The 19,094-nt window shown below is 38.7% G+C and overlaps 1 protein-coding gene across 5 annotated transcripts in view; it reads right to left on the bottom strand.

Annotated features, from left to right (window-relative positions):
- The window catches only part of DYNC1I1 (dynein cytoplasmic 1 intermediate chain 1), a 337,769-nt gene that overhangs the window by 111,832 nt on the left and 206,843 nt on the right, over window positions 1-19,094 (bottom strand). For all 5 annotated transcript variants that reach the window (NM_001278422.2, NM_004411.5, NM_001278421.2 and 2 more), the window contains 3 exons: window positions 13,514-13,676; window positions 11,336-11,435; window positions 2,418-2,543 (listed from right to left, as the gene is read on the bottom strand). In NM_001278422.2, the coding sequence (NP_001265351.1) occupies window positions 2,418-2,543; window positions 11,336-11,435; window positions 13,514-13,676 (389 nt within the window). The remainder of the gene's footprint in view (window positions 1-2,417; window positions 2,544-11,335; window positions 11,436-13,513; window positions 13,677-19,094) is intronic.

Genomic DNA, 19,094 nt, shown 5'->3' with positions numbered 1-19,094 from the left:
GTGAGTGAAGGCTTTGGTTTTTCCACATATACATTTTAATTCTGTGGGATCTCTAAATTTCCATTTAGGGTTAGAAGGTGGTAAAGATAGCCACGTCTAGAACCATGTCTAATCGATACCTTATAAGGGTAGGTGGCCAAAAATATACCTTGAATGGGCTGTACAGCCTTTGCTATCAAGTCCCATGTCTGCCCACATTTTTAGAATGCAGCCTAGGTGATGGCACGATGTATGCGATAGAATAAGCCTCAGTTCCAGGATTGGCTCTACTGCTCACTAGCTGGGTAACCTCTAAAGTATAAAATCTCTCAACTGGAAAAAGAGAATAATAACATTTTTCTTACCTCCCTGTTGTACAATCAATGAGATCATGAAGGCAGAAGTGTTGGGAAAATTTAAAATACAGAAACACGTAGATATTGCTACAGGTATTACACTTTAGTACAAAGGTAACCAAATTGCCTTTATTATGTTATCTGTCTACCTAACCTCCATCACTATTTCATCTAGGACTTCCCTGGCTGCTGAAAGTTTCCTGATTTTGTCTCCCAACAGTTCAGAAATACTAAATATCATAGCAATTTTGTTTTTCTTTGGCAGCCAGTGATATTTACCTGACCTTTATCCCAACTTCATGAGTATCACCTGTATCAAAGTGCTGACTACAAGTTTTTGGAATCAACTATTTTACTCAGCATCTTTTGGTAACTCTGGTATGACTATCTTGTTACTATATTTAGGGTACCTCTTGCTTTTTTTTTAAAATCACGAGTATATTTTCTTCTCAATGACATATATTGGATCATTAAGGGAGAAACTAAAAAAAATGTTTGTTGGAGAAATGTTTAGTCAATGATCCCAAAGATACACACACACACACACACACACACACACACACACACACACAAGAATGCCCTTTTCAATTAATACTAGTATTAACTATTGTTGTGTGGTAAAACAAGTAATTTACAGTTGATTCCAGAAACCTGTAGTCAGTTAATATAATTAAAATTTAAAAATCATGATAAAGATCATACATATTGATTATAATAATGTATTATTGTTGGATTTTTAAAATCAAAGACTTTCTGTAATATCAAAATAATTTAAAAGGCACTGTTTTTCAAAAATGTGCTTCTCTTTATTTCTTAATCCTTACAGTATTTTCCTGGGAATTCGGCAAACCTTGTAAAACTGAACAAAATTAGGATTTTGTGCTTCTATGTTTACAGAAGGAGCATATCAAGCTGACTTGAAAATCTTAAAAAAAATAAAAGAAAAAAAGAAAGAACCGTTCTTATTTCAAAGGCTAAGAAAATAAAGGTTATTTACCATACAGAACTAGACTTCTTGTTAAGTTGTTTTTGAGACAGCAAATTAGAAAAACATGGCCAGAGTTAGAGGTTACTCAATCAGGTTGAGGCTGGGACTCTATTCCAGCAGCTCCTATTCCCCAAATTATATCTGATAATGCTCTAAAGTCTAAACATATTTTAGTTCAAAAAGATACTTGGCTCTTAGATAGAAAATGGCACTAAGCTTCCAAAAATCAACAGGTTTACCCACCCTCTTCAAATGATGTCTTTGTATTCAGAGTAATCTGCCACTCAGTACCTCTGAATTGTTAACATTTGAGGAACTGCAATTTTGAGCTGAAATGTTTGTTTTTTATTTGCCTGTGCATAATCACAGGATAGGAGCATTAATAAAGGGGTTGGTGTATTGGCCTATGCTGAGGCCTATTATTTAGGCAGAGTCATGGCAACAGAGCAATGCTGAACGTGTACAAGGGTACCATAATTTCAGCCTGTATTGTGTCAAGGGGAAGAGAAGACGTGTCCGCAGAGAGAAGGAATGAAAAATACAAACATATTTGAAATTATCTCTGCATTTTCAAACCAGAAACAGCATCTATATTTCCCAGCAACTCAAGAAATACGAGTGGTAAGTCTTGCCCCATGCCAGCTACAAAAGTATTATCTGTTAAGTAGTATGGCGCCCATAAACTTAAAGTCAGCAAAATCCATTGAACTGCATTTCCAAGAGAGTAGGAGACTTGAAATGGTAGTGCTCTGAGGATGTCCACGTGGGTGGGCAAGCATATGTTGCTTTTAAGCAGAGGAAGTGGTACACCACGATTTCTTCATAAGTGCGAGGTCTTTATAAACTCATCCTCATGGGGGCTGTTTTAAATAGAAAGAAAATGACACACAGTCCCTAACCAAGCTTCCTAACTGTTTGGGGAGGGTTGCCACTTTCCCAAAACATTAGGTTACTGTGGGGGAATTTTCCAAAATTGTCAACAATTTCATTTTTAAACTGAGTTCTTCCTCTCAGCATAAGACAGATGCAATGCAGCACAAACTATATTTGGTCTAGCAGGAGATGTAAGTTATTTTTACTACGCTGACTCCTACCTGACAGTGGAAGACGTATTCTGGTGTGGTTTTCTTAAACTTCATGTTCCAAACCAAGGCCACTCCATCTGGTTCATGGGGAGCATCTTCATTGTTGTTGTAAGAAGCCACCATCAGCTCAGGGTACTAAATGGAAGAGGTCACAAGGATGAATTATGCTAAGATGACAACACAAGGAAAACTTTGTTATTCCTACATACACGTGGTATACTACACAGTGTAAATGGTGCTTTCTGTTATGTTGTGGCATACCTACTATCAGCTTACTGCTGCAACCTCCTGCAATCTTGTTTCTGCCTCCAACACTCTGTATGCGCTTGTCATACTCACCGGTAACTATCAAACTACAAACATCGCTTTACCTCTCCGTATTATTTGACACTTTGTGCTACTCCCTTCCTCTCCTGTATTGGCTTCCATTACATCTTTCTCTCCTGATTTTCTTCCCTGACTTCTCTTTTCAGTTCCTGCAGGTTCTCCTTCTATTACATAAATTCCAAGGAGGGCTATTCTCGCTGAGTAAGTTCATCTACTCCAGTGGCTTTAATAAGCTTAACATGCTGGTAATTTTCAAATCTATATCTCTAGGCTTAATTTCTCTCTGAGATGCAGGTCTTTATATCTGACTGCCTACTGGGGATTTCTCAGGGCTGTCCATAGACCCATCAATTGTAACACATAGAAAAATGATCTCATTGACTTCCACACGAAACCTACTGCTCCTCCATGTTCCCTATTTTAGGGTCTTGCACTAACATTCGCCTGGCCCAGGCCAGCCATTCTACATTATTTATTTATTTATTTATTTATTTATTTATTTATTTTTTGAGATGGAGTCTCGCTCTGTTGCCCAGGCTGGAGTGCAGTGGCCTGATCTTGGCTCACTACAAGCTCCACCTCAGGGGTTCACGCCATTCTCCTGCCTCAGCCTCCTGAGTAGCTGGGACTACAGGCGCCGGCCACCACGCCTGGCTAATTTTTTGTATTTTTAGTAGAGACGGGGTTTCACCGTGTTAGCCAGGATGGTCTCGATCTCCTGACCTCGTGATCCACCAGCCTCGGCCTCTCAAAGTGCTGGGATTACAGGCGTGAGCCACCATGCCTGGCCCATTTATTTTTACTTCTTTCTCTCTCTCACTCCCACACACTAAATTTCCCTATTTCCTCAATACCTTTCAAATGAATATTTTCTTTCTATCTTTAAGGTCAGAGCCTGCTAAATTAATTTCTTATCTGGATGAAGGCAGCAGCTTCATAAATGGCTTCCTATACTGACCTACTCCATTCTCCATCCTTTATCAGGAAGACTTTACAAAATATGTATTTGGCTAAGTCATTCCTCAGCTTAAAATACTTTAATGGCTCATCATTACTTTCAAGGCAAAATGCAGGTCACAGAGGATCCTTAATAATCTGTCATTTTTTGCCTTTCCTGCTTACTCTCCTACAACCTTCCCTCTTTCTCCCCACCTCCCACAGCCTATGACCCAGCCTCACTGGACTAGTTTTGAGGCACACAGGTACATCTCTGTACCTATGAGTCTCATACTCACTCTCACTGGGATGACCCTTTGGTGTTGTTTACATAATTAACTCATCCTTTAAGACTCAACACAGGCATCAAGTCCTCCAGACAATCCTGACTTAACCAACCACTTCCTTCCTTGCCTGTTATCAGCTCCCTTTGTATCATGTGTCTGTCCTGCCAATTAAAGCCCTTGTCAAATGCATTATAATTTTTTTTCTACACCTGTGTCTTTCACTCGATTGCAAGCTCTTTGAGAGTAGGGACTGGTTTTTGTTGACCTCTGAATCCAGGGTCAATTCCTAGCATATAATAAACTTGTGCCAAAATTTCTTTAATTATTTAAAATTTTTAATTTTAGTAATTCTGTGCTCAATAGAAAGGCTTTATATATCATCCTTTGTTGTCAAACAATGCTAATAATTAAAGGCTTAAATGCCAGAAACATAACCAGTAAAATAACAAGAAGGACTCTATAGTGATTCTAGGTATTAGAAAGACCTACTCACCCTACAAAAACTCTGTCCTGAGTGTTACTAAATAAACTGAGGATAAATCTCATAGGAAGTACTTATGAGTTAGGACACATTTCATGAAAATGTCATTCCTACATAGGAGTCTCAAAAGGCAGTCCTATTAAAAATAGTATCAGGATTATGGCAGACCGTATCACTCTCTTCTTATAATTTAATTTTTTCCTCCTTTTTCATTATTCTATACATATATTTAATGGAAGATTGCCTTTATGAATTTGAACACAGATCTTTTTTTTCTATTAAAAATAACTACATCTAAGTCTTATTCATTCTTCCAGCAGCCTCAACTAAAGAAATCTGCAGAGAGTTACAATGTGCTGGTTGTGCAGAGGAAGTATAAGCGTACAGTGACACACATGTATGTGGCCACCAGGGGAAGTAATCATTCTTTATTAAAAAACACTCTGCAGCGGATGAATCAAAGGCCTATTAAGAAAGCCTTTGATTCAAAGCCCATTCAAAGAAACTAACATCCAGATAAACACAGAAGTCTCCAGACTGTCCATCTGAAGTTTAACTATGTCACATGTGAAAAGGCAACTCTATAAACATCAACACCACCACCACAGGGGCTAAGGAGCAGCTAGATGTTTCTGCAATAATATCACCCAGCTGGGTCTCATTGTTGGTACCCACTTGCAGCTTTTCTTTTTCCATTTAAAAATATTTAAAATTATTTAGCTTTAAAACTCCTTTAGAAAACAGGGAGTGCTTTAGTAAAATTACCAGTGAAATGTCATTGGCATAATTTCTATAACTGAGATCATAAGGCCTAAAGATACTGATTTAAATTTTATCTCACGCAAGTTTTTGGGATTTCAAGGTGCCCTCTAGTATGTCTTTTTCCACTGTTTGTTTGAACATGACTAGTCATATTTTCTTTTTCCAATAAAAAATCTCTAAACAATTATTTAATCTTAAGTGTTGTTCGAAGTTATGTTTTTAAAGAGAATATAAAGAATTATGAAATTCATGATCATTTGGTTACTCATAGAGCTGAATTATCCAATACTTACCCTAGGAGAATTTTACCTGGAAATTACCAGATATGCTCTCAACCCCATTTTTTTTCTAACAAATAAATGAAACCTAGTTGGGGCGCAGTGGCTGAGGCCGGCAGAGGTTGAGGCCTCCAACACAGAGGTTGAGGCCAGCAGATCACTTGAGGTCAGGAGTTTGAGACCAGCCTTGCCAACATGGTGAAACCCCTTCTCTACTAAAAATACAAAAATTAGCCAGGTTGTGTGTGCCTGTAATCCCAGCTACTCGGGAGGCTGAGGCAGGAGAATTGCTTGAACCCAGGAGGTGAAGGTTGCAGTGAGCTAAGAGTGCACCACTGCACTCCAGTCTGGGTGACACAGTAAGACTCCGTCAAAAAAAAAAGAACCTAGCATTTACTGGAGAGGAAGGAACCATCATGTTTTAAGTGCCCGTTATGAACCAGACACTGATATGTTAATTCATTTGGTCCTCATAACCCTCTAAGGTAGGCAATGGTTTACTCATTTCCACAGACAAAGAAACCCAGAGTCCTGGGTTAAATAACATATTCCATGCTATGTTGCTAATAAGTGATAAAGCAAGAACCCCACTTAAAGTCTGTTGGGCTTCAAAAGCCTTCTCCTTTCCTGTCTGCTGTGGCATGCCTCAAGTGTCCCCTATAAATATGTAAGGCACCATGACAGGTAAAATATGTGACATGAATGCCCTGAATAATAGGCTCTTCTCTATAGGAACTTATCATTAGATGGAGGGAGGTAAGACACACGTAGAAGTAACTACAAGACAAATAAAAAAGCAGACCATGACAAGTGCTAAGACAGAGGCAGAAGCAAGGTTCTGTAGAAGCATGGGGCCAGGTATGCTAGCTCATGCCTGTAATCCCAGCACTTTGGGAGGCCGAGGAGGGTGGATCACCTGAGGTCAGGAGTTCAAGACCAGCCTGGCTAACACGGTGAAACCCCGTCTCTACTAAAAATACAAAAATTAACCAGCCCTGGTGGCTTGCTCCTGTAATCCCAGCTACTCGGGATGGGGAGGCACGAGAACGCTTGAACCCAGAAGGCAGAGGTTGCAGTAAGGGGAGATCATGCCACTGCACTCCAGCTAGGGTGACAGAGTGAGACTCCATCTCAAAATAAATAAATAAATAAGCATGGAAGCTGGTGTGGGGTGTGGCAGGAAGAGAAATTGAAAGGGATTTCTCAGAAGAAATGAGACCTTGAGCCTTGTCAAGTGGGTAGGTTATTAGGACAGATGACAGCAGGGACAAGAGTCCAAAGAGGGGTGCAGGAGACCCCTCTTGGTATCTGCCTGGTTCATGTGAATCTCTCTCTTTGGAGATTACCCCAGTCAACAGAAGCCTAACTTCCCAGGGATAATTAATTAATTGCAGGGTTGATACTTGACCCAGCTGAGCCAAAGGCGTTCTCTAACCAGAATATTGTAAACTTTGAACTGAGACACAGGACCTGGGAGCTGGCAAAGGGGTCTGGATAAGGACAGCAGCCTGTTGGTGAGGTCCCTCGGGCTGCCCAGATTCCTAATATTTCTAAGTTTTAGTTCTTCATCTTTTTCATGAATTCCCTAACTACTATAATGGCTCCCCAGTAAATTCCTCTGTCTACTTAACCTAGCCAAAGGTGAAGTCTTTTTGACCAATACAGTGAAGAAGAATATGTCCAATAGACATCAGGTTGTAGTATTAATATGTGGCTAGGAGGCAGGCTATATCAAGATGTATAAAAGAAGAAAGGCCTGGAAATGCCTCAGGGCATCATCACGGAAGTCACTGAACACAGGCTAATGATTTTAGATTTTATTCTGGGGGACAATAGAAGTCACACTTTGCAACTAATGATAATACTGCTACTGCTCTTCTCACTACTATGTCACATTTATCAAGTACTTCTTATGCACCAGACACTTTTAAAATTATTAGTCCTTTATTTTTATTTTATTTTATTTTATTTTATTTTATTTTAAAGACAGGGTCTTGATCTGTCTCCCAGCCTTGAATGCAGTGATGAGACCTTAGCTCACTGCAACCTCTGCCTCCAGGCTCAAGCAATCCTCCCACCTCAGCCTCCCACATAGCTGGGGCTGCAGGCATGCACCACCATGCCTGGCCAATTTTTGTATTTTTTGTAGAGATGGGGTTTTGCCATGTTGCCCAGGCTGGTCTTGAACTCCTGGGCTCAAGTGATCCTCCTGCTGTGGCCTCCCAAAGTGTTGGGATTACAGGTGTGAGCCACTGTGTCCAGCCAAATTATCATTCCTTTATATGCATTAATTCATTTAACACTCACAATAAGTGTGTGAGCTAGGTATTATTATCATTTCATGAATGAAGAAACTTAAGCCAAGAGAAGTTAGGCAATTTGCCCAAGTTGATACAGAGTGTATAAGTAATCTTTACAAAGATTAACCAGGTAAAAGTACTTATACTGACTTAACCTTATAGAGACTGACAGTAGGGAGACCAGTAAGACGCTGTTTCCTAACATAAGCAAGAAGTAGAGGGCATGACATAAAGTAGGTGTCAAATCCATGTTCGTGGATTGGCACTGGTGTCAATAGTAATCTTTTTGCTGTTGTAAATTTGATTGGATTTAGCAACTAACTGAGTTGCCAAAGATTACTCAGGTTTGCATCCTGGATGACTGCAGGAGTGGAAGATGCAATGTACATGTGAGAGGAGTGAGTATACATGGTGGGAGTAAGATCATGAGTCTGATTCTGCACACATCTGAAAACTGTCACGTGGTATGTGATAGTATTATTGACTGACTGTGTTAAATAATGTTCAATGGGTGACAAAGTTGACATAATCCTCCAGCTTCCCAGATTTCTTCCAAGGAATGATGTTTGATGATATTTTGTAAATATTTCAAAGTTAAAGTGTTCTGGTTTAAGAAGCCCAGGAGATCAAAGGAAAGCTATGCTGAAACCTTATAATTTCTTTCTTTTTCTCCTCTCAGTTCTATTCTGTTACATTCAGGAAATCATCCTAGACACACACGCCACCACTGCACACCAAGACTGTTCCTCTATCTCTCTTCTTTCTTAATATCATTCGATTGCATCTAAATCCATCAAAAAGTCTCTTTATCCCATAAGTATGTAATCCTGGTCCTTTGAACCCCTCAACAGTGTTGTGATGCAGGAGGTGAGGGTTCTAATCTCTTTTTCTTACGCCTCATATACAACACATTTTTCAAAATTGCAAACCTCTTCCCCACAGCGTAGGTAAGCAGGTCACACAAAAATAGGGGAAAATAAATGTGGTCTCTCCATGGTAGAGTTTCTGTTATTTCCAACTTCACTTCCTCCAACACAAACATCATGCGAGACCCTGTGTGGAAACACCTCCACAGGCAATGTGGCCCATCACCTACTGAGGCAAGGCGGGACCAGCCCCACCCCGTGCCTCCTCAGGGAGTGTTATCAGCTGACCCGGGAACAAGGTTGTAGTTGCCTTTGAGGAATGTGTCAGATAAGGTTCCTGTGTAATTCCCCAACTCTGAACAAGTGAACAAGCTGAGCTAAGTGTTTCCTCAGGCTTGGATCTGATTTCTGTGCACACACTCAAGCATGCTCAGAGACCACCCACACACTGGTGGAAAGTGGTTGGGCAAACCCTGCTTGTCTTCGTCTCTGCAAGATCACTCACTGTGTGCTTTGTTGTTTGGATACAAAAAGGAATTCAAGAGGAGAGAACATTCACCCACTTTATTGCTGATGAGGGTCTAGTTGTGGGGAATTACACCCCTCTTTTGTTCCCCTGTTCTCCAATAGGATTAATTGGGACTTACCATTTTATAGCTCTGCCTAGAACACCCTCTTCTCCCCTCCATTTGTCTAAATCCCAGTCTTCTGAGAAGCTCTGTCTGACCAGAGACAGATTCCAACCTCCACTGAACTTTGAGAGCACTTGCTATCTGCCCCATATCATTCTGCACCTTTACAAGCTCTTTTAGTTTCAGATCCAGAAGCTCTTTGTGAGAGGCAGTGGTTAAGAGCATATGCCACGGGATGCTAAAATACTTTGGTATAAATCCCCACTATACCATACCCTAGTTGAGTGATTTTTCAGCAAGTTACTTAGCTTCTCTGAGCCTCAACTTCTTCAAATATGTCATGGAAATAGTAAGGGTGGCTGCCTCATATGATTGTTGTGAGGGGGAAATAAGAAAGCCTTCATAGCAGCTATCATGGTGCTTTGTATATAAGAAAAATAAATTAAAAGCTAGCTATGACTATTATTCCCAATAAAAGCATTGACAACAAGAAAGCAGAAACTGTGCTGTGCATAAATGCTTAGGAGTAATCATTCCTGCTTCTCTCACTGTTCTTATGTCAGTGTTATTGCAGGAAGGAACATTGTTGTTAAGAATGTGGGCTCAGGCATCAGATGCTTAGGTTCAAATTCTGATGTCACCACACTAGGCTGTGTGCCTTTGCATGTTACTTACCTACTCAGTGCCCGGTATATTGTCAACTAGTTGAGTTGGCCATTCAGCAAATTGGCTTTTGGTAAATTTGCCTGCTTTCACTCTGAATGCCACACTGATGGGCTTAGACTTCTTTTCTACGGGCAATGGGGAGTTTTGGTCTAGGGAATGAAGAGATCAGGTTTTTGTTTTTTGTTTTTTGAGATGGAGTCTCACTGCATCACCCAGACTGGAGTGCAGTGGCAACCTCTGCCTCTTGGGTTCAAGCAATTCTCCTGCCTCAGCCTCCCGAATAGCTGGGATTACAGGCATTTGCCACCACACTCGGCTACTTTTTGCATTTTTAGTAGAGAAGGGGTTTCACCATGTTATCCAGGCTGGTCTCAAACTCCAGACCTCAAGCGATCCACCCGCCTTGGCCTCCCAAAGTGCTGGGATTACAGGCTTGAGCCACCTCACGCAGCCGAGTGATCAGATTTTTATTTTAGAAAGATTGTTTGGGTAGATTTCTCCAGGGGAAAACTGTATGTGGACAAGCATGAAGGTAGAAATATCAGTTTGAAGGTTAAGAATAGTATTAGATGATGAATACATGAGTGAAGACATGGAAAGTCTTCGTGACAGACTGGGTCTGGAAGAGAAGAGGAAGTTGGCAATGTTGATGAAAGTTCTGCTTTAGGCTTTTGGGTATATTGTGGTGCCTTTAACATACAGATCATATAACAGGTAAAAAAGGATTTGGGATATATGAAAATAATGAGTTACTAATTCATTTAAGATTCTATGGGACACCTAGAATAGTGGCTCTGTCTGGTGTACAAAGTGAAATTCAGCAGGGAGATTGGGCGGGAGATATAAATAGGCTGTTCGTGGTTGAATCCTTAGCAGTGGAAGAGATCTCCTGCAGAGAGCACCTCAGGAAGAAGAGCAGGGGTTGAGAGCATGACCACAGGGACCTCAAGGATGGTCAGAGGAAAAAGAAATCCTGGAGAAGTCAGAGAACTAGGAGACAGTAGAGAGGAGTAGTGAGAATTCAATGGAAAGAGGATGTTTCTATAGGCACAAGGAAGCTGACTAAGCTGCTTGACAAAGAAAGGTCAGGACAGATGTGGGATTAAAAATATCCACAGGATTTGACAAGTAGGAAATCAGTGGTAATCTTAATGGAATAGTTTCATGGACAGAACAATCTGGCTTCTTGTTTGGTACCTAGCACATAGTAGGTACTCAATAAATACAAATAACTGAGTAGAGAATTGAAACTGAAACCTCAATAAAATGAGGGGAAAAAAACCAACAGGCATAGAGAGGAAATCGTAGGCAAGTAAACAAATCTCTTATTTTTTTATACAAATGCCACGAGAACACAAGCCCAGTTTGTCCCAGCCCAGCAATAATTCTTACCTGGAGGGACCAGTCCATACAAGTGACCACTCGATGCTTGGACCAATGTTCATCATAGAACTGACGATTGAAAGAAAGATTGGCTCCAGCCTGAACATCCCTAGGAGGATTTAAACATCAGAGATAAATATGGAGCTCTTTCTCTATGCTGCTCATATAGAAGCACTGATATGGCAAAAGCCTGGCACACAATACTCTCTGAGGCCAAAATGTTAATCTAGACTACATACCCTGATCAAAATTAATGAACTAAAGATGGTCTTCTTTATGAAAAGCTCTTTCTAACCTGACCTGGCAAGGGTTTCCATGTCGTTCCAAGACTGTTATGAAATGTCAGATTTGTTTCAAGTTCCCATCTTGACCAGTCCCAAGCTTTCTCCAACCCTGGTTCAGGCCAGAGCCTCTCCCTGAAAGGCTCTGGCCTGAAGCAGGGCTTATTAGAAATCTCTGCTATCAAGGGAGCACAGCACACCAGAGGATTCTTTGATATCGATACTACCTTATTTGTCCTTAGACCGGAAATGATATGCATGTTTTTATTTACTTGTAAATGCTGACAGGCTGTAGCAGTAGCCTCCTCACTCAATAGTAAGTGATAATTTCTACCATGAGACAGGCGTGGTAGACAGTGGAGGATTCACCAGATATGTTCCAGATACTTATCACTTCTGCCATGGACCAAAACAGCATCTGAATCTAGGAGGATTACACTTTAGCCAGTGTTTACTTGGCTGACACTCAACTGGCCATAACACCTCCTTCAAGGAACTCAGTGCTGGTTATGCAGCTGCTCCACAAGCTGAGTATTTACATCGAGTAATGTTTGTTCTGGACCAGGAACTACGGGATCTGCATAAAAAGCTGCCTAAGTTGCTTGGGCTTTGGTTCAGAAATTCTTCTACACCCACCTTTCCTCTGTTCATTTGCTTCAACTGCTGGCTTGCGCCCTGCATCACTTAACTTATATGGCTCTTGTTCAGACTGGGTGACCTGGCTTCCAACAAGTTATTTGGGCTCTAATTAGTAAACCTAATATGACATTTTTTTTTCTGTTAACCCTTCCTCAGCTCCGCCATTGCAAACTCAGGAGATACACACACACACACACACACACACACACACACACACACACGTCCTGCCAGGAGCCTAGGATAATACTGAGCCAGGCACACAGAGGGAAATAGGACCAACAAAATCAAGAAAGTCATAGAAAAATGGCTTTTCAAAAAAACACAAAGATTGTAGAGCATCTATATTCAAAATACTGTTGTTTCTTCAAGGTAGTCTAAAGATGCTGCCTACTGTTGAGAACATGTACAGGACTCCCTTTTGAAATTGGTTTTCATGCCTCTGTTACATTCCCTTGAGCATCCTCAATGATGATAAGATATCGTCCTTTAAGAATGTATTTGGATTTTAGAAATGGCAAAAAAAATCAGGCCTGATGAAAAAGGCAAGTGACCCTACCTTCACATATCATTCTTGGCCAAAAGAGATCTGTGGCTAAGAACAGCTATATTTATGTTTATAAGGCTCATATAGTCCCTCCTATTCTCCCCAGGATGATGGTTGACAGTCATGGCCTTTTCTAATACCTATGCTACAGTCACAGAGGAAGTCATTTAGGGACACTTGCTTTTATTGATTAGTTTTGTTTTGCCTGGAAATATATTCTTACATATATTAATATGTTTCCTAAAAGGCATATACACATATGCATACTTTCATGATACCAAAAAAAGGAAACATTTTCCAGTCTCTGTTCATCATTACACACATCAGTTAACTTCTCCCACACCTCATGTTTATTTTCTTCAATTTCCTATTTGCTTGGACATCAGGAATAAATCTAGTAGATACAACATGAATCTCCTTTGCTGCTCAAAAGAATGTTTTCTCAGAGGATAATGCATGTGACTCTGCCAGTCTCTATCACCTGGACTGTTCCCCAGATACCAAGTTCAAAAGCATTTCACAGAAGCACATGATAATTACAAGGACGCTCTAAGCCAGAAGTTATCACCAAAGCCCATAGTCAAAGCTGTTCAGCAAGATCAATTCCAAAATTTCACCCTCCTCTGATTTCTTAATTTGGAATTTTCCTAGTCAGAACATAAATAAATTAGAATTAACAGATAACTTACGCTATTTTTTAAAGAATGCACACAAGAGACTAACCCATCTTTTTCCTCTAACTCTCGGCCGCTGTAGTCAAAAAAGATGTCGGAATCTTCAGCCAGGGCTCTTTCAATTACCCGTATTGTCCGGTCAAAAAAGATGAGAAATTCCTCTGAATGAAGGATCTGCTGTTTTTCTTCCTCTGTCAACTCTCTTGGAGGGGCTTTATTTATTTATTTTTTTGTAAAAGAGATTGTTAGGGAAGAAAAAGTGACAATTAAAACTTATCAAGAGGAACCCAATTCTTGAGAGAGACTGCTTATCAAACGAGTGGCAAGACACAGTGAAACAAATCATTGCTAATATTGATTCTAAATTATTTACAAATTCACACCAAAGGCTTCTGCAGATGTCCCCACAAAAAGATTGCATATTTGGTCTAATTATTATTTTGAAGAGTTGAAGAAGATTACAAATAAAAATAGATTGGTGTGTTTTTAGCAATCAGTTCTAAATGTTTTTTTTAACTTGAAAAACAGCTTAAATATGGCATAATAGATAAATTCACAAAACTATGTATTTATATATGCTATTATGCTATTGTACTATTGTCAAGCTGGCAATATTAAATAATTAGGAACACTCTATAATATGATCCTCATAGTACCTTTCCTTTTTCTACTGAGTAAATTCATAAATTCATTTTATTTTAAATGGTTAGTTGGTAAGGCTGACTGATTGTTATATAAATTATATTCAAAAGCAGAGATATATCATTCCAAACCTGCTTTCACTCAAGATCTTCTGCTTTTAAACAAACACATGGAACAAATACATGCTTCTATAAAACAACCCACAATTGTTTTTCTGCCTTACTTTTCTGGTATGATTAATCTTATCAAACTAAATTTGAAGATAAAAAATGAGACAAAGAGATCAAATAACTAGTAGCATGTCATAGTTTCTGAAAGTGAGCTCACCTTAGAGTCACCATTTGGTTACATAAACCATTCCTTCAATTGAGAGTTTTACATAAAACCTTAGGGAAGGGATTAGGAACTCCCCAGACCAAAAAACCATCAAGGGCAGAAACTGTCAGCTGAACCTTTGTGGTTCTTCAGGAACCCTAGTTCAACTCTGGTGGAGAGAGCCTACAATAAACCTTTCATTGGTTACTCTTTCAGTAAGTAGTACAGAAGCTCCTGAAGTTAAACTTACAGGAGGAGGGTAGTGCATTACAATCACAGGTGGAGCCTCTGGTGGAATCACTCACCTACAGGGTTTTCCAAGCACTTCCACAACCATCCTAACAACAAAATCGATTTCCACCTGGCCACATGGTCAGAAGAATCTTTTAGGTACTATCACCTGTAGCACAATATTTTATGAAAGTGTTACATAATTGGACTAATTGTATCTTGAAGCCTAAGAAATCTGTAGTGTCAAGAAGCCCTTCTACAGAGTCAAGTCATGGCAGTGGATCCAATGTTCGTAACATCTCCCTCTTTCTAGCCTCCCCTTCCCTGCCCCAGACCATGAGGCAGGGGGTCTGGAGAAACACGAGAATCTCTATTTGTACAAGAAACTAGAATGATCCTGATGTAGTTGGTTCACACCTTAAGAAATGCTCTCCAGGTAATATTAGGGCAACACGTGATTCATCCATTATAGCAGAAGAATTTCTCCTAACACACCCCACCTCATAGTTTCTAGCAGCCCTAAATAAAATTAGAAATATTTCTTTGCTGTCTAGGTCTCCAGAGCCCTAAATATTCCAGTGTGTACTGAGACTTTCCAAGGACCCCATTAACTTCTACTGAGCAGTGCTGCTGAGACACTAGTTTGTGAAATGCTGAATCAGACAATATGCACACTCAGACTTAGGCTAGGTAGTGGGGAAATAGGTGGAGGTCATAAATAACACAAAGAACTCTACGACACCAACCTGCAATCAAGCACCCTGCCATATGCTAGATTTGATTAGTTAATCAATGCACTGAAGCTCTTTGAGCAGTAGTTTTATCTATGAAATGGGGATGATACCTAAACTTTAAGTCTGGTTTAAGAATTAAAGCTAAATATGCTGGGCTTCAATAATTACTAATGAAGTAGCAATTTACTAGTCTGCTTTCTAAAACTCCTGTAAATGAGACATTTGAATTATTTCACTCCAGAATATAATAAAACTACAAAATGGAACTAGGCAAAAGGGGAACAAACCCTACTAAGTCCATTTTGTTTTGGTTAATGCTGTTACATAAATGAATAAACCTGACTAAACAAGAATACTATAGGCCAAGAAGAATGTCTTATTCAAAAAGACTCACTTGGCCTTGGTCACTGTTAATAGATGACTTGAGACACACTTGAAATTAAACAAAGTAGTAGGAATTTTTCTCCTTTATTTTTTAAGATATTAAAAAATCTTTCTAGTCTCTGTTTATCTTTTTGAGCCACTTCTATTTCACCTGTATCTTTCCTTACAGGTCCATTACCTTGAATAAAAAATGGTATCTATGTAATTTTCTGTAATTTTTTTCTTCCCTGTAGCTTATTGTCACTTTGATCTCAGCTTTCAAGACACACAACTTCTTCTCTAACAGAAACATAAATGGCTGATCAAAGTGTGCTTGCAGAGGCCAAGTTCAGGTAGGTGGAGCACTAGCCTCTCCAGATATTATGATTGACAATACAATATTTGGCTTGAAATTAAAATGCTACAGAAGCAAACAAAAGATACATTTTATATTAAGCTTTGATGTCAAACAGGGATCAAATGACATGATTTGTTAGCACAAAATAATCAGATGCATGTGCAGATGAGTACTTTTTAAAAGTCATAAACAATATTCAACTTAATTAAATAGGGCCATAGTAATTTTTGATTAAATAAACAAAACCACCCATACTCAAAGATCTTTAAATTGATAAGTGTTGTTCAATATCATGAAAACATAATGGAGTATCCAGGAACCACAACCAAAAGGTGTATTCAGAGATAAAAACCTCTCCAGGCATCATATTTCATGAAAGAAAATTGGTTGATTAATGGATTCCACAAAGTTCAAAATACAGGAATAAACAAATAGAATCAGAATTGTTTTACTCCAAGATAGATGCCATATTCTACCTCAAGTATCTGTTTCTACAGCTTTTCCCTATCCCTGGAATCTAATAAATTATTTTTAACAAGTTCATGGCATTAAAAAGATAGGATTTAATAGCAAAGGGCATACCAAAACAAAATGTGGGCATGGATAATAGTTTTTCTTATAGGTTAAGCAGAAAATACTATTATAGCAGATTTTTTTTCTTTGTTTTCACAACACAAAACATGGAGTGTTTCTGCCAAGAACTGGCAGCTAACAATACTTTGTGCATTTAAAGAGCTCTTTAAGAAGAAGTAGATTCTACACTATGAAAAGTAGAATGCATGGATGTAACTTACATGTAATCCAAATGATAAGACAATTTTCAAAGTTACCAAAATTTAACCAGTTATATTGAATTTGAATAACATGTATGAAAGAAATTTTACAGAATACATGAAATTCAGAAGACAGCCTAATTCTACAAATTTGTGGCCTGCAAAATTACAATAGAATATAAATTTCACTTAGGGTCCACTTTTTATTGTAGAAATGTTAATTTTTCTTATTTTTTATATGAAAATACTTTTAAATAAATCTTTCAAGCATGATTGTATTTCATTTGCCGTGTTTTCTTGACCTTTCCTGCTATCCTCAATGTATACTTTGTCAGTTTCTCTTTAATTAATTTATACTACTTTAAACTATATCTTTTGGGTTCTGCCTTCTTGTGATTTTTTTCCCTCTATAAAAATGTACAATTTATAATGAAGTTCACAACTTATACTGAGTTTTTTAGTATCTCATTTCTGTTAAAAGATATTTTAAAAATATCTACTACAAATATGTCCTGACTTGTTTCAGTGATGCTGCTTTAAATTTCAATATAAAAATTATTCAAAAATATTTTTCAAGGATCTCTAAGAGATAAAAAATAAAACCCATGTAGCCAGGAAAAACATTAGATTAAATAAGGACAGTGGCTCTCATGGGAATTTTACAGTGAAATCAGTTCATAAACAGCAGCAAGAAACCAAACCAAACTAAAAGTGAAGGACATCTTTCTTTGACGTCAATGTGAGGTTTATGAGTTGATTTGTATTTACAAAAATGTTAGGTTCCCAGTTGTATTGTTTTGAATTTCTAAACATGAAGACATGAGGACACTGACATATAGAAGTTTTCTAAACTTTGATTATAAGCTAAAATATACCTGATTTTTTTCCTACTCTATGGCAGAAAAAAGTGAAACAGTAATAAATCAAGACTGCATTTCTTTAGTGTTTAATGCACTTTGATGTCACGTGGGCAAAAATGTCAAAAGTTAGTGAGTACTGATTATTTTCCCCATGTCCCCCTCACCACCTTTTTCTTCCTTTTCACTCCAAAAAAAAAAAAAAAAAAAAAAAAAAGCCAGATTTCTCAAAAATGTGTTCCCTGGTTTGAAACTGTGTATGTCAAGTTTCAGCCCAGAGCAAATCTTTATGGCTGAGTAATAAATCCTTGAAACGCAAGGTTCGTAATGGAAGTGCTGACACAGCCCTAACTACTATGCAGTCGTGTGAATGGCGCCACGATTATATCTGCTAGAGATTCTTTCAAAAGTTTGCAAAATACTGTCTTGCTTTAAAAAAAAAAAAAGCCAGAGTTTGATGCCAACATAAACATCCTTTTAACCCATTATGTGTTAATTTGCAGAAAAGCCATTAATGGAGAATAAGGCATACAGTGCAGCAGGAACAGGAAATGTTCTTTCAAACTTCTTTTTGACTTTTAACATGACTTTAATCAATTCCATGAAGCACGAGTAACAGTTAAAACTGAAGGGTGTTTTCGCTTGGAACTTAAGAAGGAGGTTGCTTTGCTTTGCTGGAGAAGACGACTTGGAGATTGGGGCTGGGGTGGTGGTGATGGGGAATCCATGCCAAGACACACAAAATATACCCTGGCTCCTTATCACCAGGTGTATTTTAAGAATATTTTGCAAAGGGTAAAGGAGTACTTTAATAGATCCTGACTTATTTTGTACCTCACTACACCTGTAATCATGATATTCTACTCACCAACTTTTTTTTTAAAAGACGTTTTTAGTATAAGTTTAAATGTGAGATCTCTTCGATCAAATTCATTTAGACTCTCAGAAAGAGTAAGCCTTGTGTCTTCTGTGGATGCCACTGTTAAAATGCTGAATCTTCTCCTAAACCTTAGTCACACCCTAGAACTTGACAACGATTGAACTTCTCAATGTCTGAGACCTAGCACAGTAACAGAAATAAGACCTTTAATGATAGTTCTCCAACAAGTTTAAAGGACTTTGCTTGCATCTCTATTGAAAGTTCCACATTTTTTAAATGTACTAGCTAGCTGGGGCCCCTGTAACCATGTTCTCATTTCAAAGCTATGGGCTATGGCAAAGCTGAGCACAGAGAGCTGGGGCCCCCAAGGGCATCCATCCCATCAGGGTAGAAACCAGTTATAGACCCAGGCACTGCAAGGCAAGACTACTAATGATAATTTAGCAAACTTTTATACAGCACTTACTTTGTGCCAAG

Source organism: Homo sapiens, chromosome 7 (genome assembly GCF_000001405.40).
Source record: "Homo sapiens chromosome 7, GRCh38.p14 Primary Assembly".
NCBI lineage: Eukaryota > Metazoa > Chordata > Mammalia > Primates > Hominidae > Homo > Homo sapiens.
Note: the sequence above shows the minus strand (reverse complement) of the source record. Positions and strands in the feature narration are given on the sequence as shown.